This window comes from Homo sapiens, chromosome 10 (genome assembly GCF_000001405.40).
Source record: "Homo sapiens chromosome 10, GRCh38.p14 Primary Assembly".
NCBI lineage: Eukaryota > Metazoa > Chordata > Mammalia > Primates > Hominidae > Homo > Homo sapiens.
Genome location: NC_000010.11, coordinates 25,715,534 through 25,739,350, shown reverse-complemented (window position 1 = coordinate 25,739,350; position 23,817 = coordinate 25,715,534). Strand labels below are relative to the sequence as shown.

The 23,817-nt window shown below is 41.1% G+C and overlaps 1 long non-coding RNA gene across 2 annotated transcripts in view, besides 2 other annotated features; it reads right to left on the bottom strand.

Moving 5' to 3' along the window:
• Positions 590-761: a silencer, noted in NCBI's record as "fragment chr10:26027519-26027690 (GRCh37/hg19 assembly coordinates)". NCBI's record gives its function as "represses an EF-1alpha promoter that drives an FKBP-Casp9 reporter gene in an ReSE screen in K562 erythroleukemia cells {active_cell/tissue: K562}" and the evidence as "EXISTENCE:reporter gene assay evidence [ECO:0000049][PMID:32094911]".
• Positions 6,416-23,817, bottom strand: part of LINC00836 (long intergenic non-protein coding RNA 836) — an 81,224-nt gene continuing 63,822 nt past the window's right edge. For both annotated transcript variants that reach the window (NR_108067.1, NR_108068.1), the window contains 2 exons: positions 22,370-22,606; positions 6,416-7,730 (listed from right to left, as the gene is read on the bottom strand). This is a non-coding gene — a long non-coding RNA (long intergenic non-protein coding RNA 836). The remainder of the gene's footprint in view (positions 7,731-22,369; positions 22,607-23,817) is intronic.
• Positions 22,570-23,071: an enhancer, noted in NCBI's record as "NANOG hESC enhancer chr10:26005209-26005710 (GRCh37/hg19 assembly coordinates)". NCBI's record gives its function as "activates a minimal SCP1, AML or CMV promoter by ChIP-STARR-seq in naive H9 embryonic stem cells {active_cell/tissue: H9 hESC(naive)}" and the evidence as "EXISTENCE:reporter gene assay evidence [ECO:0000049][PMID:30033119]".

The window sequence follows — 23,817 nt, the reverse complement described above, 5'->3', positions numbered from 1 at the left end:
CTCACTGCAACCTCCGCCTCCTGGGGTCAAGCAATTCTCCTGCCTCAGCCTCCCGAGTAGCTGGGACTACAGGTGTGTGCACCAAGCCCAGCTAACTTTTTGTATTTTTAGTAGAGACGAGGTTTCACCACATTGGCCAGAATGGTCTTGATCTCCTGACCTCATGATTCGCCCGCCTTGGCCTCCCAAAGTGCTGGGATTACAAGCATGAGCCACCGCGCCCGGCCACCACTGATTGTTTTCGATGAATGCCCTGGAGATAAGGCTGCTCAGACAGAGCAAGCCCTAAGTCATATCAAATAGAGAAAAACTCTGATAATTGACTTTTTCATTGAGATTCCAGACAGTCTAACTATAAGCATGCCTCAGAGATATTGTGGGTTTGGTTTCAGATCATTGTAATGAAGTGAATATCACATAAATATTTTTGTTTCCCAAGGCATATAAAAGTTATGTTTACAGGCTGAGTGTAACATAACAATCATGCCTATAATTCCAGCACTTGGGAGGCCACAGATGGTTCATGCCTGTAATTCCAGCACTTTGGGAGGTCAAGGCAGAAGGATCACTTGAGCCCAGGAGTTCAAGACCAGCCTGAGCAATATTGTGAGACCTCATCACTACAAAAAATAAAAAAGTTATCCAGGTGTGGTGGCACACGCCTGTGGTCCCACCTAATCAGTGAGGTGAGGTGGGAAGATCACTTCAGCCCAGGAATTGGAGGCTGCAGTGAGCTGTAATCATGCCAGTTCACTCCAGCCTGGGTGACAGAGTGAGAGCCTATCTCAAAAAATAAAAATAAAAGTTAAGTTTCTAATACATTGAAGTCTTTTAAATGTGCAGTATCATTATGTCTAAAAAAGCAATCTGCATGCCATAATAAAAAAACTTTATTGCTGAAAAATGCTAACAATCATCTGAGCCTTCAGTGAGTTTGTAATCTTTTTGCTGGTGAAAGGTCTTGCCTCGATGTTAATGGCTGATGAAAGTGGTGGTTGCTGAAACTTGGGGTGGCTGTGGCACTTTCTTAAAATAAGACAACAGTGAAGTTTGCCACATCAATTGACTTTTCCTTTCACTAAAAATTTCTCTGTAGCGTATGATGCTGTTTACTCACAGTAGAACATCTTTCCAAATTGGAGTCAATCGTCTCAAACCCTGCTGCTGCTTTGCCAACTAGTTTATGCAATATTCTAAATCTTTTGTTGTCATTTTAACAATGTTCACAGCATCTTTATCAGAAGTAGATTCCATATTAAAAAACCATAGTCTTTGCTCATCCATGAGAAGCAACTCCTTACTCATTCAAGCTTTATCCTGAGATTGCAGCAATTCAGTGTCATCTTCAGGCTCCACTTCTAATTCTAGTTCTCTTCCTATATCTACCACATCTACAGTTTCTACACTGAAGTCCTAAGCCCTTTGAAGTCTTCCGTAAAGTTGGAACCAGCTTCTTCCAAACTCCTGTGAATGTTGATATTTTGACTTTCCACAATGAAACATAAATGTCCTTAATGGCATCTAGAATGGTGAATCCTTTTCAGAAGATTTTCAATTTATTTTGCCCAGATCCATCAGAGGAATCATTTTCTATGGCAGCTATAGCTTTAGGAAATGTATTTCTTAAATAAGACTGAAAGTTGAAATTACCTTGGTCCATGGGCTGCAGAATGGATGCTGTGTTAGCAGGCATGAAAACATTAATCTCCTTGTACATCTCCATCAGAGCTGTTGGATGACCAGGTGCACTGTCAATGAGCACTAATATTTTGAAGGAAACCTTTCCATCTGAGAAGTAGGACTCAACAGTGAGCTTAACATATTCAGTAAACCATGCCCATCCAGGCTTTGTTCTTTCATTTATAAAGCACAGGCAGTTGATTTAGCATAATTCTTAAGGGCCCTGGGATTTTCAGAATGGTAAGTGAGCACTGGCTTCAACTTAAAGTTACCAGCTGCATTAGCCCCTAACATGAGAGTCAGCCTGTCCTTTGAAGCTTTTCTGGCTTTTCTTCTCTAGCTATGAAAATCCGGTATGGCATCTTCTTCCAATGGAAGGCTGTTTCATCAACACTGAAAATCTTTTATTTAGTGTGGCCACTTTCATTAATTACCTTAGCTAGATCTTCCGGATAATTTGCTGTAGCTTCTACATCAGCACTTGCTGCTTCACCTTGCACTTTTATGTTACAGACATGGCTTCTTTTTTTAAACTTCATGAACCAACCTCTGTTAGCTTCCAACCCTTCTTCTGCAGCTTCCTCACCTCTCTCAGCCTTCACAGAATTGAAGAGAGTCAGGGTCTTGCTCTGGGTTAGGCTTTGGCTTAAGTGAATGTTGTGGCTGGTTGATCTTCTATCCAGAACACTCAAGCTTTCTCCATGTCAGTAATAAGGCTGTTTTGCTTTCTTATCATTTGTATTTTCACTGGAGTAGCACTTTAAATTTCCATCAGTAAGTTTTCCTTTGCATTCACGACTTGACTGTTTGGCACAGGGGCCTAGCTTTTGGCCTGTCTCAACTTTTGATACATCTTCCTCACTAAGGTTAATCATTTCTAGCTTTTGATTTTAAGTGAAAGACATGTGACTCTTCCTTTCACTTGAACATCTGGAGGCCATTGTAGGATTATTAATTGGCCTCATTACAATATTATGGTATACCAGGGAATAGGGAGGCCCATGGAGAGGGAAAGAGATGGAGTAATGGCTTATTGATGCAGCAGTCAGAACACACACGACATTTATTGATTAAGCTTGCCATCTAATATGGGTGCAGTTCATCGCGCCCCAAAACAATTAAAATACTAACATCAAAGATCACCGATCACAGATCACCATAACAGATATAATAATGAAAAAGTTTGAAATATCATGATAATTACCAAATGTTACGTAGAGACACTGATTGAGCACATACTGTTGGAAAGTAATGTCCATAGACTTGTTCATTGCAGGGTTACCACAAATCTTAACATTTGTAAAAAATGCAGTATTGAGGAAATGCAATAGAGTTAAGCACAATAAAATGTGGTATGTCTGTAATAATAATCTCTAAAGAAGGGATTTTTGGGAGATCCAAATCTCTTCTGTCCCTTACAGTGGCTGCTAGGCTGTCAGTGTTTTTCACAACCACTGTAGTTGTGAGGCTGTTGTTTTCCATGGCTACTGTGAAGCTGGACAGAGGAGGATGGGATTAGGGCAAGTCATAATGCCCCAAAGTTCATTCTTCTTTTCAAGATTCAGTTGGTTTTCTTGAATAAAAGCTCCTAGAGTTTTTTCAAATCTTATTCAATTTCTAGAGTTCTGAAAATGTTGATTTGGACAACTTTTGGGGTCAGGGTACTAATTATTTTTGTGGAAGAGCAGATTTCTGGAGGTTCTCAGCCATTCTGGATGTTGTCCCATTTTTAATTGGGTCATTTGTTTTCTTCTATTTGGTTTTAAGCATTCTTTGTGTATTTTAAAAACAAGTCATTTATCATAGATCTGTTTTGCAATTTTTGGTCTGCACCTGTGTCTTGTATTTTCATTCTCTTAACAGTTTTTTTCACAAAGCAAGGGACTTTATTTTGTTAAGGTGAAATTTATATAACATGCAATTAACCATTTTAAAGTGTACAATTCATGGATATTTAGTGCATTCAGAATGTTGTGCAGCCACCATCTCTCTCTAGTTTTGAAACTTTCTCCTCACATAAGAAGAAACCCCAAACCTCTTAAGTAATTACTTATTCTATTCTCTCACTATCACCTGGCAACCATTAATCTACTTTCTGTCTCTATGTATTTGCCTATTGTGGATATTTCATATAAAAATTATACAATTTATGACCTTTTGTGTACGGCTTCTTACTTAGCATACTGTTTTTGAGATTCATCCTAGTTGTAGCATGTATTGATATTTATTTCCTTTTCATGTCTGAGTAATATGCCATTGCATGTATATACCACAATTCGTTTATCCCTTCATTCATTGATGGATATTTGGGTTGTCTCCACCTTTTGGTTACTATGCTTAATGCTGCTATAAACATTCATGTACAAGTTTCTGTGATGATTTATATTTTCGTTTCTCTTGGGTATAAATCTGAATGAAATTGTGGGGTCATATGTTAATTTTATGTTTCACTTTTTGAGGATCTATCAAACTGTTTTTCAAAGTAGCTGCACCATTTTAGATTCCCAATGTAAGAGGGTTTCTATTTCTCCATATCCTTACCAACACTTGTTATGTTCAGTTTTTTTTTTTCTTAAACATTGTTGTCCTCATGCATGTAAAGTGGGATCTTGTGATCTTGATTTACATTACCTTAATGACCAACGATGTCGAACATATTTTTATGTGGTCGTTGGCTATTTTCATATCTTCTTTTGAGAAATGTTTATTCAAGTCCTTTAACCACTTTTAAATTTGTTTGTTTGTCTTTCTGTTGCTAGGTTGCGAGAGTTTTTTATATAGTCCACGTATGACACCATTATCAGATATAAGATTTGCAGATATGTTCTCTCATTCAGTAGGCAGTGTTTTTACTCTTTTGATAGTGTCATTTAATGCACAATAGTTTTTAATTTTGGTAAAGTCTAATTTATCAATTTTTTCTTTTATTACCATGTTTTTGGTGTCAGATATAGAAATCTACTGTTTTCTTCTAAGAGTTTTATTGTTTTAGTGGTTATATTTATGTAATTAATCTATTCTGTATTAATTTTTGTATATGAAGTAAAGTAGGAGTCCAAATTTATTCTTTAGCATGTGGATGTCCAGTTGTCCCAACATCATTTGTTGAAAATACTTTTCTTTCCCCATTAAATGATCTTTGCACGCTTGTTGAAAGTCAGTTGTCCATAGATATTTGGGTTTATTTCTAGACTCTCAATTTTATTCCATTGTTGTGTGTGTAGAATTTTATATTACCATAGAGTTGAAATAAGTGTTAAAATTGAGAAGTTTTAGTCTTTCAACTTTGTTTTGCTTTTTTCAATATTGTTGTAGCTATTTGAGATCCTCTTCAATTCCATAGAAGTTTGAGGACTGTCTGTCCCATTTCTGAATAAAAGGTTGTTGGAATTTTTATAGGAATTACATTTGATCTGTAGATCACTAATGCTGCTAAAACTAATGCTGCTAAAATATCTTAATATTAAGTCTTTTAATCTATAGATGAATAATGTCTTTCTTTTTATTTAGGTCTTCTTTATTTTTTTCAATGTTTTGTAGTTTTAGGTGTATGAGTCTTTCACCTCCTTGGTTACATTTACTCTTAGGTATTTTATTCTTTTGGATGCTACTGTAAATAGAATTATGTTCTTAATTTTGAAAAGTTCAACTTACCTATTTTTCTTTCTTTTTTTTTTTTTTTTTTTTTGAGATGGAGTCTTACTCTGTTGGAAAGGCTGGAGTGCAGTGATACAATCTTGGCTCACTACAACCTCTGTCTCCCGGGTTCAAGTGATTCTCCTGCCTCAGCCTCCTGAGTAGCTGGGATTACAGGCATGCACCACCACATCCAGCTAATTTTTGTATTTTTAGTAGAGACAGGGTTTCATCATGTTGGCTTGGCTGGTCTTGAACTCCTGAGCTCAGGTGATCCACCCGCCTCGGCCTCCCAAAGTGCTGGGATTATAGGCGTGAGCCACTGCGCCCAGCCCCTTACCAATTTTTCTTTCATGGATTTTCCTTTTGATATTATCTCTAAAACCTCTCTATTAGTCCATTCTCATGTTGCTAATAAAGACATACCCGAGACTGGGTAATTTATAATGGAAAGAGTTTATTTATTTGTTTATTTATTTATTTTTAGTAGAAACAGGGTCTCACCATGTTGGCCAGGCTGGTCTCGAACTCCTGGCCTCAAGTGATCTGCCCCGCCTCGGCCTCCCAAAGTGCTTGGATTACAAGCATGAGCCACCATGCCTGGCCAGGAAAGAGTTCTAATTGACTCGCAGTTCCTCAGGGCTGGAGAAGCCTCAGGAAACTTACAATCATGGCAGAAGGAAAAGCAAACGTGTCCTTCTTCACATGATGGCATGAAGGAGAGGTGCCAAGAAGAAGGGAGAAATGCCCCTTATAAAACCATCAGATCTCATGAGAACTTACTATCATGAGAACAGCAGCATAGGGTAACACTAACATTTTCCTACAGAATTGCATATGGATGTCCAGCTGTTCCAGGACTTGATCTTGAAAAGACTACCCTTTCTGCATTGAATTTCTTCAGTATCTTTATTAGAAATCCGTTGACTATCTTCATAATTGGTGCTGGGAAAAACACATATTCACATGCAAAACAATGACCTTGGATCTTTATCTTATATTGCATATAATAATTGACTCGAAATGGATCAGAAACCTAAGTAGAAATGTAGAAATTATAAAACACCTCCTAGAAGAAAACACAGAGCAAAAGCTTCATAACATTAGATCTGGCAGTGATTTATTGAAAATGCCAACAAAATCACAGGCAACAAAAGAAAAAAGTAGATACACTGGACTTCATCAAAATTAAAAGATTTTACACATTAAAGGACACTGTTGAGAAAGCAAAAAAAAAAAAAAAATCAAAACAACCCATAGAATAGGAGAGAGATTTTGAAAATCAATATATGATAAGGAACTTTTATGCAGAATATATAAAGAACTCCTGCAACTCAACAATAACAGAAGAATAATACCCAGCCCAATTAAAAAATGGACAAAGGACTTGATTAGACATATCTCAAAAGAAGATATACAAATGGTCAACAAGCACGTGAAAAGATGCTCAACATCAGTTATCATTAGGGAAATGCAAATCAAATGCACAATGAAATATTACTTTATACTATTAGTATGGCTATTATATATTTTTAAAAAGAAAAATAAATGTTGGTAAAGATTTTGAGAAACTGAAGCTCTTATGCATTGTGGTGGGAATGTAAAATTATGCAGCTGCTGTGAAAGACAGCTCGACAGTTCCTCAAAAATTAAACATAGAATTGACATATGATCCAGTAATTCCGCTCCTAAGTATATACCCCAAACAATTCAAAGCAGTGCTCAAACAGACATTATACACCATTGTTCATAACATCATCATTTACAATAGCCAAAAGATAGAAACAACCCCCAAATATCCATCAGCTGATGAATGGATAAACAATGTGGTATAGACATACCATGGACTATTATTCATGCTTGAAAAGAAATAAAATTCTGATCCATATTATAACATGGATGAACCTTGAAAACATTACAGTAAGTGAAATAAACTAGGCACAAAGGACCCATATTGTATTATTCCACTCATATTAGGCACTGAGAAGGGGCAAATTCATAGAAACAGAAAGTTCAATAGTGGTTACCAGAGACTGAGGGCAAGGGGGGAATGAAAATTTATTGTTGATAATAGGTACAGAGTTTCTGTGTGAGGTGATGAAAAATTCTGGAACTGGATAATGGTGATGGTTATACAACATTGTTTATTCTTAATGCTTCTGAACTGTGCACTTAAAAATGGTTAAAATGGTAAATATTATATACACTTTAGCACACAAAAAACCTCTTGACTATATTTGTGTGAATTTATTTCTGGAAGATGTATTCTGTTTCATTCATTGATGTGTCTATTCTTACATCAATGCCACGTCTTGATTGCTGTAGCTTTACTTGAAATCAGGAAGTGTGAGTCCTTTCACTTAGTTCTTGAGTCTTGTGCTCCACATGCTTTTTCAGTCATTCATGTCATTTTGCTTGAATAAAATGATAGAAATAGAGTATTTGTTACCTGCAGGTTATTACTGAAAAAGTACACACTACACGTTTCTATTTCCATGGCATTCTACAATAGCCCAAACCAATCTACAGTAGGAAAATATCAGAACAGTGATTGCCCGGACAGTAGGGGCAGGGCTGGACTGGCGATTGCATGGTGTAAATAAAGAGCTGATAACAGAATCTTCCTTACCCCAAATTCTGCAACCTTACTGGAAACAATGGTTCGTATAGCAAATTGAGAAACAGTGATGCAGGAGATGGAAAAAAATTATTTAGGCAGATAGTGAAGATAAAAGAGTCCTCGGCAAGGCTTCCCTGTTAACAAAAAGCAGCCCAAGAAATTATTTTTTTCCAACAAAGAGCAGCCTGAAAAATCAAGCTGCAAACATAGATAAGCAAGCTGGAAGCCTGCACGGGAGAATGCCGGCAGCTGTGCCAATAGAAGAGGGCTACCTGGTGGCCAGGCATATCCAACATGGAGGTTCCATCTTCCCTTTTTTGTTACCACATGTGCAATAAAGAGATGGGCAACATGGCGCTGGCCAGATAGAGAACCCATCTGCATAGTAAAAGATTAGGGTGAGCGCAGACAGCTTTTCATGCCCTCTGCTAATGACACACCCAGCCCTAACCAGTTTTTCTCACCCTATGCAAATGGCATACCTGGTCCAACCAATCTTTTGTGCCCTATCTAAATCAGACATCGCCTCTACAGGCTCATCTATAAAACCCTTTTCACCTTGGAACTGGCAACCCATTTTCTTGGGACCCTTCTCTGCAGCAGAGAGCTCTTCTGTTTTTTTCGCCTATTAAATTTCTACTCTGAAGCTCACTCTTTGTGTGTTCACGTGCTAGTTTTCCGTGGCCTTGAGACAACGAATCTCGGGTATCACCCCAGACAAGGAAGCCGCTTCAGCAGCACCTTAAAAGAAGTTGTAAAAAAACTAGAAGAATGTGGTCTCAAAAAAGTCAAAACAAGCTTTCTTTTTTGTTGCTTGTTTTTGTTGTTGTTTGTTTTGTTTTTCTTTTCTTTTTTTTTTAAAAGAGGTGACTCTTAGTGTCAAAATCTTTGGACACGTTGTGTATGTTCAGGAGCGTGCACTCTCCAGGAGATTTAAGAAGAAGTTGTTGCAAACCTGGGAGAGCCATTAATGAAGTCCTCAGGCTTTAGGAGCATAGCAGGACATCTTAGAGAAACTTAAGTCTGTGATTTCTGAAAGTCTGACAAGAAAGCCTTAAGCAAGGAAAGTAATTTTCAGAAATAATAAAGTGTGGCTGCCTGGAATATTAGTTCTGATTTCTGAACAGGTTTCTTACGTGATAAAAACAACCCAAACTGTCTCCCTTTCTGTGCCTGTACTCCTACATCTTACAAAAAAATCTCTCATAATAATCGGGAATGCTACTTAAGAAGCTCTATGTATAACCACAGCTGATGACAAAGTAAGGTGTCACATGGTTAAAATATTTTAAGTTTACCTTTCTTCTTGATCTGGAAGGTAACAAGGCCATGACTTCCTTTTTAAAAACATTTTATTTTATTTTAAGTTCCAGGACACATGTGCAGGATGTCCAGGTTTGTTTCATAGGTAAATGTGTGTCATGGTGGTTTGCTAAACCTATCAACCCATCCCCTAAGTATTAAGCCCAGCATGCATTAGCTGTTTATCCTGATGCTCTCCATCCTCCCACCTCACCACCAGGCCCTGGTGTGTGTTGTTCCCCTCCCTGTGTCCATGTGTTCTCATTTTTCAGCTCCCGTTTATGAGTGAGAACATGTGGTGTTGGTTTTCTGTTCCTGTGTTAGTTTGCTGAGGATAATGGCTTCCCATTTCATCCATGTCCCTGCAAAGGACATGATCTCATTCCTTTCTATGGCTGCATAGTATTCCGTGGTGTATATGTACCACATGATTTCTTTATTTGCTGTAACTCCTCCTTCCAGAAAGAAGAGCCATTTCCTCCCACCTGAGTAGGATATCTTTCCATGATGAAAAATTATTCTTATTTTCGAACAATTACATATCATCTGGGAGCAAGACGGCAGGATCTTTACTGTTTTAGATGTGACATTCTGAAATAAAACAAAGGGTAGACTACTCTGCTGGTCTCTAAACACCCTCTATGGCACAGCCCTGTTCCTCCACGGCACGGGTTTAATTTTTGGATGCCTCAATCTGTTATTTTTATGAGATTAAAGCCTCAAACTCTAAATGCATCTCTCTCTAGGTAACAATCCTGAATTTATTTACTAGTCTCTAAGAATCCTGCAAATATTTATGGTATGTATCTTTCTGGGTCCCCTTTCCTCATCCACAGCCCAAGGAAGATTGCTAGGAGTCATTAAGAATGTCTGGATGCTGCTTTCAGTCTGTGTTTTGACCTGGTAAAGGCAGGGCAACAATTGATACATAATATTTTTACGTATGTACGGAGTACATGTGATATTTGCTTCATGCATAGAATGTGAAATGATGAGGTCACGGTATTTGGGGTACCCATCACCTTGAGTATTTATCATTCATATGTGTGGGGGGACATTTCAAGTTCTCTCTTCTAGCTACTCTGAAATATACAATACACCGTTGCTAACTACAGCCATCCTACTCTGTTACCAAACATTTGGACTTTCAACCATGGAAAAGCCCTACTTCTCAGTCCAAAGAGATTTTTAAGGTAAAGCTTCGAAATAAAAAAAACAACTAGCCAGGTGCAGTGGCTCATGCCTGTGATTCCAGCACTTTGTGGGGCCAAGATGGGTGGATCCCTTGAGCTCAGGAGTTAGAGACCAGCCTGGGAAACAGAGTGAAGCCCCATCTCTACAAAAAATACAAAAATTAACAGGCATAGCAGCATGCGCTTGTAGTCCCAGCTACTCAGGAGGCTGAGCTGGGAGTATCACTTTAGCCCAGGAGGTTGAGGCTGCAGTGAGCTATGATTGTGCCACTGCACTCCAGCCTGGGCAACAGAGCAAAATTTTGTCTGAAAAACAAAACAAAACCACCACCACAACAATAAGCAACTATCAGTCATTTCATCTGCTCCTTGGTAATCTTAACTCTCTTTTAACTTTATGTTTGCTGTGTTTATAATAGTAATAATCATCAGTGTTATTAGCACTAACATTCATTGACCACATACCATGTCTCAGGTATTGTTTTAAGTACTTTATCCATTTTATATTAAAAAAATGAGGTAGGTAAAATTATTATCCTCTTTTATAGATAAAGAAACTGAGACCTAGAGTTTGTTAGGTAATGTACTTGTTGGGTGATAGAGTACCACCCAGAGGGTGGGGACGCTCAGTCCTGGATTCCCTTTGTCTTAACTACAGCTGGCCCCTGATTTTGCTCTCTTCCCATGTGCAAGTGACTGGGGGAATGATCCTTGCACCCCCGGACAACATCAAGGAGCAAGAGGTCAGGGACCAAGGAAGAAGCAGCCTCCTGTTCTGTAGGCTATGCAAAACTAAGCCAGGTGAAGGCCAGGTGCAGTGGCTCATGCCTGTAATCCCAGCACTTTAGGAGGCCGAGGTGGGCGGATCACCTGAGGACAGGAGTTCGAGACTGGCCAACATGGTGAAATCCCATCTCTATTATGGTGGCACGTGCCTGTAATCCCAGCCACTTGGGAGGCTGAGGCATGAGAATTGCTTGAATCCAGGAGGTGGAGGTTGCAGTGAGCCTAGATCACGCCACTGCACTCCAGCCTGGGTGACAGAAGGAGACTTCATCTCAAACAAAACAAAACAAAACAAAACAAAACAAAACAAAAAAACTTAGCCAGGTGAAGAAGATTACTAGAGGTGCCAGGCCAGAAACTGCATGGCAGCGTCATTTCTCCCAGAGTGCCAACCTCTGGTTTCATGTATTTGTGTATACTGTTGGGGCTCAGAAAACTTGCTAGAAATGGAACCAAAGAAGCAGTGTCAAGATCTCTCTAACCTCCCCTCCAATCCGTTCAATCTCTCTCTCCCAAACACAAGATGAGGCTGTTCTCTGAAGTCCCCTTGTTAACCTAGAAACTAGGCTTCAAAAGAGAACACAATTGGAACCCTTGCATCTGTCCCCTGAAATTTCATTAACCAGGGAAGATTAAAACTCATCACAGAGGAAGAGATGGGAAGTTAAACACCATACCTGGAATGCAAATGAACTTTGTCTCAAACTGTTATCTGTTCTCTGTTACCTCTCAGTTCTAAAGAGCATCATTTACAAGATAAATATCTGCCTCCTGGGTCCCTTCAGACCTCCCTAAAAATCATTTTCTCCTACAGACTCTCACCTCCTCTTCCCCTCTGAAGAAGAGTATATAAGAATCTGGACCTCATTGGGTTATTGGGAATTCATTCTCCTGGGATTCCCCAGTGCTATGCATGTTAAAATAAATTTGTATGCTGTTTTTTCCTATTAATTGGCCTCTTGTCAGTTCATTTTCAGTGGACCTTCAGAGGGAGAAGGGGGAAGCTTTCCCTCTTCACCTCTACAACACTCCAGAGGCTGAAACCAGCACGGAAGATGCCAGAGAAGTGAGGAAACAAAAAATAAACAAAGTGAAGGAAGGAAGGGAGGGAGGGTGAGAGGGAAGAAAGAGAGAGAGTGAAGGAGGAAGACAGAAAGGGAGGGAGGGAGAGAAGAAAGAGTGGGACAAGGTGTGTATTAGTCCATTTTCATGGTGCTAATAAAGACATACCTGAGACTGTGTAATTTATAACAAAAGAGCTTTAATGGACTCACAGATCCACATGGCTGAGGAGGCCTCATAATCATGGCAAAATGTGAAGGAGGAGCAAAGGCACGTCTTACATGGCAGCAGGCAAGAAGGCATGTGCAGAGAAACTGCCGTTTATAAAACCATCAGATTTCATAAGACTTATTCACTATCACAGGAACAGCATGGGAAGACCCACCCCCATCATTCAATTACCTCCCACTGGGTTCCTCCCACAACATGTGAGAATTATGGGAGCTATAATTCAAGATGAGACTTGGGTGGGGACACAGCCAAACCATATTAAGGAAGTGGGGAGAGAGGAAAGAAGGAAGGAAGAGAGAGAGAGAGAGAGAGGAAAGAAAGAAAGAAAGAGAAAAAGAAAGAGGGGAGGGAGTGGGAAAATAAAGGGAGGGAGGGAAGAAAGAAAAAAGAAAGAGGGAGGAAGGAAGACGGGAAGAAAGAAAGAAAGAGAGAAAGAAGGAGAGTTAAAGGGAGAGAGACAGAGGGAGAGATGTTGTACCTTTTAGTGAACTCATGGCTGGGACCCTTTCTCTGTCTAACTCCAGTGAATTCCTGTTGTGACAAATGTTTCCTTTGTTGAAAATAGCAAAAACTTTTTGTTCAGGTATTAGGTACTCAGGATAACTACTTTTGTTCTTAGCAAACTCATGAAAACTTGGGTTTGCTAGGTTTTGGAGGGAGAGAACAGGTCAAATGCTAACATAATTCCTTAGCCTTGTGGAAAGAAAAAGGAGCAAGCCGTGTTTTTGAGTAGACTGCCATCTAGTGGCCTCGAATGGATACATTTACATGTCAAAAGCTATCACGCCGGAGTGAAAGATGAAAACCAGTGGGACAAGAAGTATCCAACAGAGAGGCCTTGGCAATTCCATCTCAGTCTCTTTTGGTTCATTTTCTCGGATATATTTTTGTAACTGTAGCTGGAAATTTATCATTCAAAATGCAAAATGTTGTTTTCGTAAATGCCACGTTTAGAAATTATGATTAATGACACATTATTTTCTATCACAGATCACATATATGTTAGAAAGAAAGTAACAATTTAAATATATGTATAGAGGTCGGGCACAGTGGCTCACTCCTGTAATCCCAGCACTTTGGGAGGCCAAGGCAGGCAGATCACTTGAGGTCAGGAGTTCAAGACCTGCCTGGCTAACATGGTGAAACCCCGTCTCTATTAAAAATACAAAAATTAACTGGGTATGGTGGTACGTGCCTGTAATCCCAGCTACTTGGGAGGCTGAGGCACGAGAATTGCTTGAACCGTGAGGCGGAGGTTGTAGTGAGCCGAGATCGTGCCACTGCACTCCAGCCTGCGCGACAGAGCAAGATTCTGTCTCAAAATAAATAAATAAATAAATAAAAATAAATAAGTAAATAAAAATTAAAATATATACAGAGAGTATCATCAATGAAGTTAGGGACTTTTTTGTCCCTAACTTCAGTGGGCCACAGATTCCAACAAATTTCTGTAAGGTAGAGCACAAATAGACAGACGGTCATTCAGATAGAGAGCATTGATGCCATCACGCTCTTCATTCGATGGCATATTATTATCGCAGGGCCACGGGAAACTTCCCCTTCACTCTCTGATGGTTCACTGAAAGTCAACTGACAAAAGGCAGATTAATGAGAGAAAAGGCATACAAATTTATTAGATCATAGTTTTATGTGACATGGGAGCCTTCAGAATGAAGATCCAAAGATATAGAGGAAATTGTTCGTTTTTATGCTTAGGTCCATCACAATATGCACAGCCCTGTAGAAACAGGATTGGGCCATAGGTTCTGGTCTAATGCTGACAGACTGAGTGAGGAAACCCAGCAAGGCCAGTCTGCGTAGATTCTTCTTGGCCTCTCTGTGCCACGTTTCTTCCTTCTGGGTGTGGGGCAGGACCCTCTCTGGAATGGGGCTATTATGACCTACCATCAAACAAGGTAGGTCAGACAATTTATTTATGGTCAGTTTTTGCATAGAAAGTCATTGAGCCTGGGGAGTGGTGGCTCACACCTGTAATCCTACCACTTTGGGAGGCTGAGGCAGGAGAATCCCTTGAGCCCAGGAATTCAAGGCCAGCCTGGGCAGCATAGTGAGACCCTGTCTCTTTTTTTTTTTTTTTAAAGAAAAATTTAAAAAAAAAAGATGTGGGGGGAGGCAGAGTAATAATTTTCAGTTTTATTGTTGGTGTCAGGGAAAAGAGGTTCTGGTTTCTATAACCCACGCTGGGAAAGGGATAATCTTTCTTTCTTTCTTTCTTTTCTTTCTTTCTTTTCTTTCTTTCTCTTTGCTTCCTTTCTTTCTTTTTTCTTTCCTTCCTTCCTTCCCTCCTTCCTTCCTTCCCTCCCTCCTTCCTTCCCTCCTTTCTCTTTCTTTCCTTCCTTCCTTTCTCTCCTTCCTTCCCTCCTTCCTTCCTTCCCTCCTTCCTTCCTTCCCTCCTTCCTCTTCCTTCCTTCCTCTCTTTCTTTCCTTCCTTCCTTTCTCTTTCTTTCATTCCTTCCTTTCTTTCCTTCCATTTTTCTTTCTTTGTTTCTTTCTTTCTTCTCTCTCTCTCTCTCTCTCTCTCTGTCTCCCCTTTCCTCCCTCTCTCTCTCTCTACCACGCTGCACTAACTTTTGCATTCTTAGTAGATAGGGGGTTTCGCTATGTTAGCCAGTCTGGTCTCAAACATCTGACCTCAGGAGATCTGCCCGCCCTGGCCTCCCAAAGTGTTGGGATTGCAGGCGTGGGCCACTGCGCCTGGCCAGAGATAGTCTGGGTCCTATTAGTAGCCCCAGGGAGAATGAGAGGTCAGAGTCAGGAGGCAGCAGAAAGTCAGAGAGAAACTTTTGTTTCTGAGGCCTGGATTCTGGATTATCCTTTCCTGAGCTCCTGCGTGATCACACCCACGTAAAGCTCCTTGCTCTTTTGTTTCCTTTTATCCCCATTCCCCATGCCCTCTCCTCTCTTTCTCAAAGAGGCTTAAGGACCTCACTCTTGAAAATGAATGAATAACCAAACATCATGAGATCATCCTTATGGAGTTAGACTGTGGGATGCATTACAAGAGTCCCAGCTATTCTTGCCTCCCTCCTGTATTATACTTAAAACGAGTTTTTTTACACTTTGCCTATAATAGTGTTGCTTCTAAGATGTAGTATAATCTATATCATCTCTACTTTTCGATTTGCTTGTGCTAGACCTCTGAGCTCGACCATAATCTTCTTTTGCCCTTTATCTCTTCCTTTGCCTGAAGAATGTTGTCAGGTACTTTAATATGTTAGAAAAACATGAATCTGTTTGTATTTGTATTTTTCATATATATATCACCAAACCAAGAGTAGTCAGTGCATTTATTAATCAAAAATTAATAGAATGCATATGTGTGGGTCTATTTCTGGACTCTGAGTCACTGATCTGACTCTCTTTTTCTATGAAAATACCACCTCATCTTGATTACTTTGGCTTTAAGTCTTGAAATTTGGTGCAGAGTCTTTTTAATTTGTTGTTTTTTTAAAGGTTGCTTTAATGATTTTAGGTCCTTTGCATTGCTATATAGATTTTAGAAACAGCTTGTTAATTTCTATGTAAGGAAAAGTCTTCTAGGAACGTGTTGAGACTGCATTGAAGACACAGATTAATTAGGGAAGAATTTCACATTTTAGGAATATTTAGTTTTCTAATTCATGCACATGGCTCTCCATTTATTGATGTCTGCTTTGATTTCTCTGGGGAATCTTTGTAATTGTCTAGTATAAAGATATTTCAAGACTAAACATTTTTCTAAGTATTTTATATACTTGTCTCTATGGTAAATAGCATAATCTTAGATTTTATTTTTTGAGTTGTCTCATGCTAGCCTATAGAAAAACGATTGTTGTATTTTGACTATGTACTTTGTGATCTTGCTAAATTCACTGAATTCTGGTAAGTTATTTGTAGATTCCTTAGGATTCTTTTCATGCGCAACTGTGTGAAGAGACCACCAAACAGGCTTTGTGTGAGCAACAAGGCTGTTTATTTCACCTGGGTGCAGGCAGGCTGAGTCTGAAAAGACAGTCAGTGAAGGGAGATAGGGGTGGGGCCGTTTTATAGGATTTGGGTAGGCAAAAGAAAATTACAGTCAAAGGGGGGGTTCTCTGGCGGGCAGGGTTGGGGGTCACAAGGTGCTCAGTAGAGGAGCTTTTGAGCCAGGATGAGCCAGGAGAAGGAATTTCAAAAGATAATGTCATCAGTTAAGGCAGGAACAGGCCATTTTCATTTCTTTTGTGGTGGAATGTCATCAGTTAAGGCAGGAACCGGCCATCTGGATGTGTATGTGCAGGTCACAGGGGATATGATGGCTTAGCTTGGGCTCAGAGGCCTGACATTCCTGTCTTCTTAAATTAATAAGAAAAATAAAACGAAATAGTGGTAAAGTGTTGGTATGGCGAAAATTTGGGGGGATGGTATGGAGAGATAATGGGCGATGTTTCTCAGGGCTGCTTCGAGCGGGATTAGGGGTGGCGTGGGAACCTAGAGTGGGAGAGATTAAGATGAAGGAAGATTTTGTGGTAAGGGGTGATATTGTGGATTGTTAGAAGAAACATTTGTCATTTAGAATTATTGGTGATGGCATGGATATGGTTTTGTATGAATTGAAAAACTAAATAGAATAAGAGAAGGAGAAAAACAGGTATTAAAGGTCTAAGAATTGGGAGGACCTAGGACATCTAATTAGAGAGTGCCTAAGGAGATTCAGCATAGTCCTGCCAGCAAAGATTATTTATTTACTTCAAGAGTTAACAGTGGCAGTTTGGGGATAGCACCAGGAGATATCCGCTGTGATGGCTTGGAAGAACAGTGTAAACTGGCAGTGTAAACAAGATCAGGGCATGTATGAGTAGTTGAGAATGGTGAATAGGAGTATGACTAGACAGAAGATAGTAGGGATGACAAGTTTTTTGGGGCACAGTCCAAGTTGGTCTGGTGTCTGGAATGAGACTGGGGCTTAATAAAAAGGAGCATCTATACAGGACCTTAAATGGGCTGTACCTTGTAGCATTCCGAGGACAGGCCTGAATTCTGAGAAGGGAAAGTGGTAAAAGTATTGTCCAGTTCTTTTTAAGTTGGTGGCTGAGCTTGGTGAGGTGTGTTTTTAAAAGATTATTAGTCCGTTCTACCTTTCCTGAAGAGTGAGGACTGTAAGGGATATAAAGGTTTCACTGAATACCAAGAGCCCGTAAAAATGCTTGGCTGATTTGATAATAAAGGCTGGTCTGTTATCAGACTGTATAGAAGTGGGAAGGCCAAACCGAGGAATTATGTCTGACAGAAGGGAAGAAATGACTGCGGTGGCCTTCTCAGACCTTGTGGGAAAGGCCTCTACCTATCTAGTGAAAGTGTCCACCTAGACTAAGAGATATTTTAGGTTTCTGACTCGGGGCATGTGAGTAAAGTCAACTTGCCAGTCCTGGGCAGGGACAAATCCTTGCGCTTGATGTGTAGGAAAGGGAGGGGGCCTGAACAATCCCTGAGGGGTAGTAGAATAGCAGATGGAACACTGAGAAGTGATCTTCTTGAGGATAGATTTCCATGATGGAAAGGAAATGAGAGGTTCTAAGAGACGGGCTAACGGCTTGTAACCTACATGGAAGAGGTTATGAAATGACAACAGAATAGAATGGGCCTGTGAGGCTGGAAGGATGTATTTTCCTTGGTCTAAGAACTATTTGCCTTGTGTGGGAAGAGATTGATAGGTGGAAGTTTCAGTGGGGGAGTAGGTGGGAGTGACTGATGTGAAGGGGAAAAACTGGCCATGAGGGACAGGAGTTGGAAAGCTAGCTGCTTGTCTAGCCACCTTATCAGCATAAGCGTTGCCTAGAGCAATGGGATCTGACGCCTTTTGATGGCCTTTGCAGTGAATGACTCCAGCTTCCTTTGGAAGTAAAGCGGCCTTGAGCAGAGTTTTTATGAAAGAGGCATTGATGATGGAGGACCTTTGTGTAGTGAGGAAACTTCTTTCAGTCTATATAACAGCATGATGGTGCAGAATATGAAAGGCATATTTAGAGTCAGTATAAATATTGACGCGTATTCTTTTTGCAAGAGTGAGGGCTTGAGTTAAGGCAACTAATTCGGCTTGCTGAGAGGTAGTGGAGGGGGGCAGAGCGGTAGCCTCAATGATAGATGTGGAAGATACTATAGCATAGTCTGCCTTTGCTGGTGAGTGGCAATTAGGTCTGGTGGAACTGCCATCAATAAACTAAATGTGATCAGGGTGAGGAACAGGAAAGAAGGAAATATTGGGAAATGGGGTGAATGTCAGGTGGATCAGAGAGATACAGTCATGAGGGTCAGGTGTGGTATCCAGAATAATGTGGCAGGCCAGATTGAAGTCCGTGCCAGGAAAAATGGTAACTGTGGGAGACTTAACAAAGAGTGAGTACAGCTGAAGGAGCCCGGGAGCAGAAAGTATATGCGTCAGGTATGAGGAAGAAAACAGATTTTGGAAGTTATGAGAACTGTAGAGAGTGAGTTGAGCATAGTCTGTGATTTTTAGGGCCTCTAAAAGTATTAGGGTGGCAGCGGCTGCCGCACACAGACTTGAGGGCTCGGCAAAACAACAGTAAGGTCAAGTTGTTTGGATAAAAAGGCTATAGGGCGCGGTCCCAGTTCTTGTGTAAGAATTCTGACTGCACAGCCCTGCACTTCAGCTGTGGGTAATGAAAAGGGTTGGGATGAGTCAGGGAGAGCTAGAGTGGGGGCAGTCTCTAAAGCTGTCTTCAAGGAATGGAAAGAGGAGTGGGGAAAGGATTTAGGATTTATGGGGTCAACTAGGTTTCCTTTTGTGAGTTTATATAATGGTTTTGTTAGGATGGCAAAACCAGGTATCTGAAGTCGAAAGTATCTAACCACACCTAGGAAGGAAAAGAGTTGTCATTTTGTAGAAGGTGCTGGGGTTTGAGAGATCAGTCGAACACTATCAGCAGGGAGAGCATGTGTGTTTTCATGAGAATTATGCTGAGATAGGTAACAGATGAAGAAGAAATTTGGGCTTGGCTGAAGTAATGGGGGCTGTCTGTGAAGCCTTGCAGCAGTACAGCCCAGGTAATTTGTTGAGCCTAATGGGTGTCAGGGTCAGTCCAAGTGAAAGCGAAGGGAGGCTGGGATGAAGGGTGCAAAGGAATAGTAAAGAAAGCATGCTTGAGATCCAGAACAGAATAATGGGTTGTAGAGGGAGGTATTGAGGATAGGAGAGTATATGGGTTTGGCATCACGGGGTGGATAGGCAAAACAATTCGGTTGATAAGGCGCAGATCCTGAACGAATCTGTAAGTCTTGTCTGGTTTTAGGACAGGTAAAATGGGGGAATTGTAAGGAGAGTTTATAGGCTTTAAAAGGCCATGCTGTAACAAGGGAGTGATAAAAGGCTTTAATCCTTTTAAAGCGTGCTGCGGGATGGGATATTGGCATTGAGCAGGTTAAGAGTGATTAGGTTTTAATGGGATGGTAAGGGGTGCATGATCGGTCACTAAGGAGGGAGTAGAGGTGTCTTTTACTTGTGGGTTAAGGTGGGGAGATGCAAGGGGAGGATGTGAAGGAGGCTTTGAACTGGGGGAAAAGGTGGCAATGAGGTGTGGCTGTAGCCTAGGAATAGTCAGGGAAGCAGATAATTTAGTTAAAGTGTCTCCGCCTAATAAGGGAGCTGGGCAGGTGGGGATAACTAAAAAGGAGTGCTTAAAAGAGTATTGTCTAAGTTGGCACCAGAGTTGGGGAGTTTTAAGAGGTTTAGAAGACTGGCTGTCAATACCCACAACAGTTATGGAGGCAAGGGAAACAGGCCCTTGAAAAGAAGGTAATGTGGAGTCAGTAGCCTCTGTATTGATTAAGAAGGGGACAGACTTACTTTCCACTGTGAGAGTTACTTAAAGCTCAGCATCTGTGATGGTCTAGGGGGCTTCCGAGGCGATGGGGCAGTGTCAGTCTTCAGCCACGAAGCTGAGAAGATCTGGGAAGGAGTCAGTCAGAGAGCCTTGGGCCAGAGCTCCAGGGGCTCTGGGAGTGGCTGCCAGGTGAGTTGAACAGTCTGATTTTCAGTGGGGTCCCACACAGACGGGATATGGCTTAGGAGGAATCCTGGGCTGTGGGCATCCCTTGGCCCAGTGACCAGATTTCCGGCACTTGTAGCAAGCTCCTGGGGGAGGAGGTTCTGGAGGAACCCCTGGCAGCTGTGGTTCAGGTGTTTGGAGTTCTTGTGTGCTGGAGATGTGGCTGGGGTTTGTCTTACAGTGGAGGCAAGGAATTGCAACTCAGAAATACACTGCTATTTAGCTGCCTCTACTCTAACTCTATTATTATACACCTTGAAGGTGAGGTTAATTAATTCCTGTTGTGGGGTTTGAGGGCTGGAATTTAATTTTTGGAGTTTTATTTAATGTCAGGAGCAGATTGGGTAATAAAATGTATATTGAGAATAAGACGGCCTTTTGACTTTTTAGGGTCTAAGGGCTGTAAAGCGTCTCAGGGTTGCTGCCGAACGAGCCATGAACTGGGCTGGGTTTTTCATATTTGATGAAAGAGCCTAAATGCTCACTGATTTGGGAGAGGTCAGATAAAGAAAAACGAGCATTAACTTTGACTATGCCTTTAGCTTCAACCACCTTTTTAAGAGGAAATTGCTGGGCGGGTTGGGGAGGGCTACTCACAGAATGAAACTGTAAACTGGACCGGGTGTGAGGAGGGGAGGTGATAAAAAGATTATAGGGTGGAGGAGTGGAGGCTGAGGAAGAATTGGGACTTAGCTCAGCCTGGCGAGGAGCAGCCTGGGGAGAAGGGAAGAGGTCAGATGGGTCTGTAGAAAAGGAAGATTAGAAAGACTCAGTGATGCTTGGGGTTGGGACTGAGGGGACAGGCAGGAGGGAAAGAAGGAAGATTTGGGACGAGTTGCACTGGGCACAGAGACTAGGGAGGGACCGATGTGTAAAAGAATGCCTGGGTGTCAGGCACCTCAGACCGTTTGCCTATTTTACAACAGGAATTATTTAGATCTTGCAGGATGGAAAAATTGAAAGTGCCGTTTTCTGGCTATTTGGAACTACTGCCGAGTTTGTACTGGGGTCAAGTGGCATCGCAGAAGAAAATAAGGCATTTAGGTTTTAGGTCAGGTGTGAGTTGAAGAGGTTTTATGTTCTTGAGAGCACAGGCTAAGGGAGACAGAGGAATGGAGGGTGGAAGGTTGCTTATAGTGAAGGAAGCAAGCCTAGAGAAGAGAGAGAGTAGAGACACGGAGGGAAGGGTTTCAGGGGTTCTAACCCTCCAGAAAAGCGGGAAAGGGGTCGGGGCATGGAAATAAGGTTGGGGCGCAGAGATAAGAGGTCAGGGTGTGGAAATAAGGGATTGGGGCACGGAGATAAGAGGTCGGGGAGCGGAAATAAGGGATCGGGGCACAGAGATAAGAGGTTGGGGTGCGGAAATAAGAGATCGGGGGTTCTTGCCCCCAGAAAAGCAGAGAAGGGGTAGAGACACAGAGAGAAGGGGTTGGGGGGTTCTTGCCCTCTAGAAAAGGGGGAAGTGGTAGAGACACGGAGAGAAGGGGTTGGGGAGTTCTTGCCCCCTAGAAAAGCGGTACTTGCCGCTAAGGGTGAAGGACCAAGGCAGGCGTCCCCACGTGGTCAGACACCTCTGAAACGTGGGTGAATAATCAGAGAGGCGTCCCTGCAATGATTAAACACCAAGGGAAGGCTGCCTTCCTGAGTCTGTGACCGGCGCCAGAGTTTTGAGTCCACAGATAAAACATGTCTCCTTTGTCTCTATTGAAATTAAGAGAAGGGAGAGATTGAAGGGTGGTGCCAAGATTGAAAGGAGAAAGCAGTTGAGGGATAGTGAGAGAGGTTGGAGAAGAGAGTAAGAAGAGGCCGCTTACCTGATTTAAAATTGGTGAGATGTTCCTTGGGCTGGTGGGTCTGAGGACTTGAGGTCGTAGGTGGATCTTTTTCACGGAGCAAAGAGCAGGAGGACAGGGGATTTTATCTCCCAAGGGAGGTCTCCGGATCCGAGTCACAGCACCAAATTTCATGCGCATCCATGTGAAGAGACCACCAAACAGGCTATGTGTGAGCAAAAATGCTGTTTATTTCACCTGGGTGCAGGCAGGCTGAGTCTGAAAAGACAGTCAGTGAAGGGAGATAGGGGTGGGGCCGTTTTATAGGATTTGGGTACGTAAAGGAAAATTACAGTCAAAAGGGGGTTGTTCTCTGGCGGGCAGGGTTGGGGGTCACAAGGTGCTCAGTAGGGGAGCTTTTGAGCCAGGATGAGCCAGGAGAAGGAATTTCACAAGATAATGTCATCAGTTAAGGCAGGAACGGGCCATTTTCATTTCTTTTGTGGTGGAATGTCATCAGTTAAGGCAGGAACCGGCCATCTGGATGTGTACGTGCAGGTCACAAAGGATATGATGGCTTAGCTTAGGCTCAGAGGTCTGATAATTCTCTACATAAATATCACATCATCTGCAAACAAACACAGTTTTACTTCCTTCTTTCCAAACTTTCTTCCTGCCTCCCTTTCTTCCTTCTGTCTCTTTTAAAATTGTTTATTTGTTTAAGTTTACCTTATTTTAGTAGCTCTAACCTCTTGTATAATGTTGAATTGAAGTGGTGAGAGCAGATATTCTTGATTTTTTTCCTCCAAATTAAGAAGGAAATAGTTCAATATTTCATCATGTATGTTAACAGTAGTGGTTTTCGTACTGACCATTATGACGTTGAGGAAGTTCACTTCTATTCCTACTTTGCTATGAGTTTTTGTCATGAATGACGTTAATTTAGTCAAATGTTTTTGTTCATATATTAAGATAATCGTGTTGTTTTTCCTCCCTCATCTGTCAATGTAGTGAACTATCTGAGTGGTTTTCTATTGTTAAATCAGCTTTGCATTCCATGGATAAACTCTCCTTGGTCATGATGTAATATTATTTTTATATACTGCTGGATTTGATTTTCTAATATTGTTAAGAACTTTTGCATCTATGTTCATGAGAGACATTTTCTGAAATTTTCTTTTCTGATTTGTCAGATTTTGGTATCAGAGTGATGCTGGCCTCATAAAATGAGTTGGGAAGTGTTCCTTTTTCTATTTTGTGAGGGTTTTGGTAAGATTGATTCTTTTGTCATTTCAGTGTTTGATAGAATTCACCATCTGTAACTGCCTAGGACTGTATCCTTTATGGGAATGTTAGTTATTGTAAATTAAATTTCTTTGGTAGATACAGGGTATTCTGATTCAATATTACTTCCTGGATCAATTTTGAAATATGTCATTTAATTTAAATTGACATATTTATTAGCATATAATTGTCCATTATATTTTTTA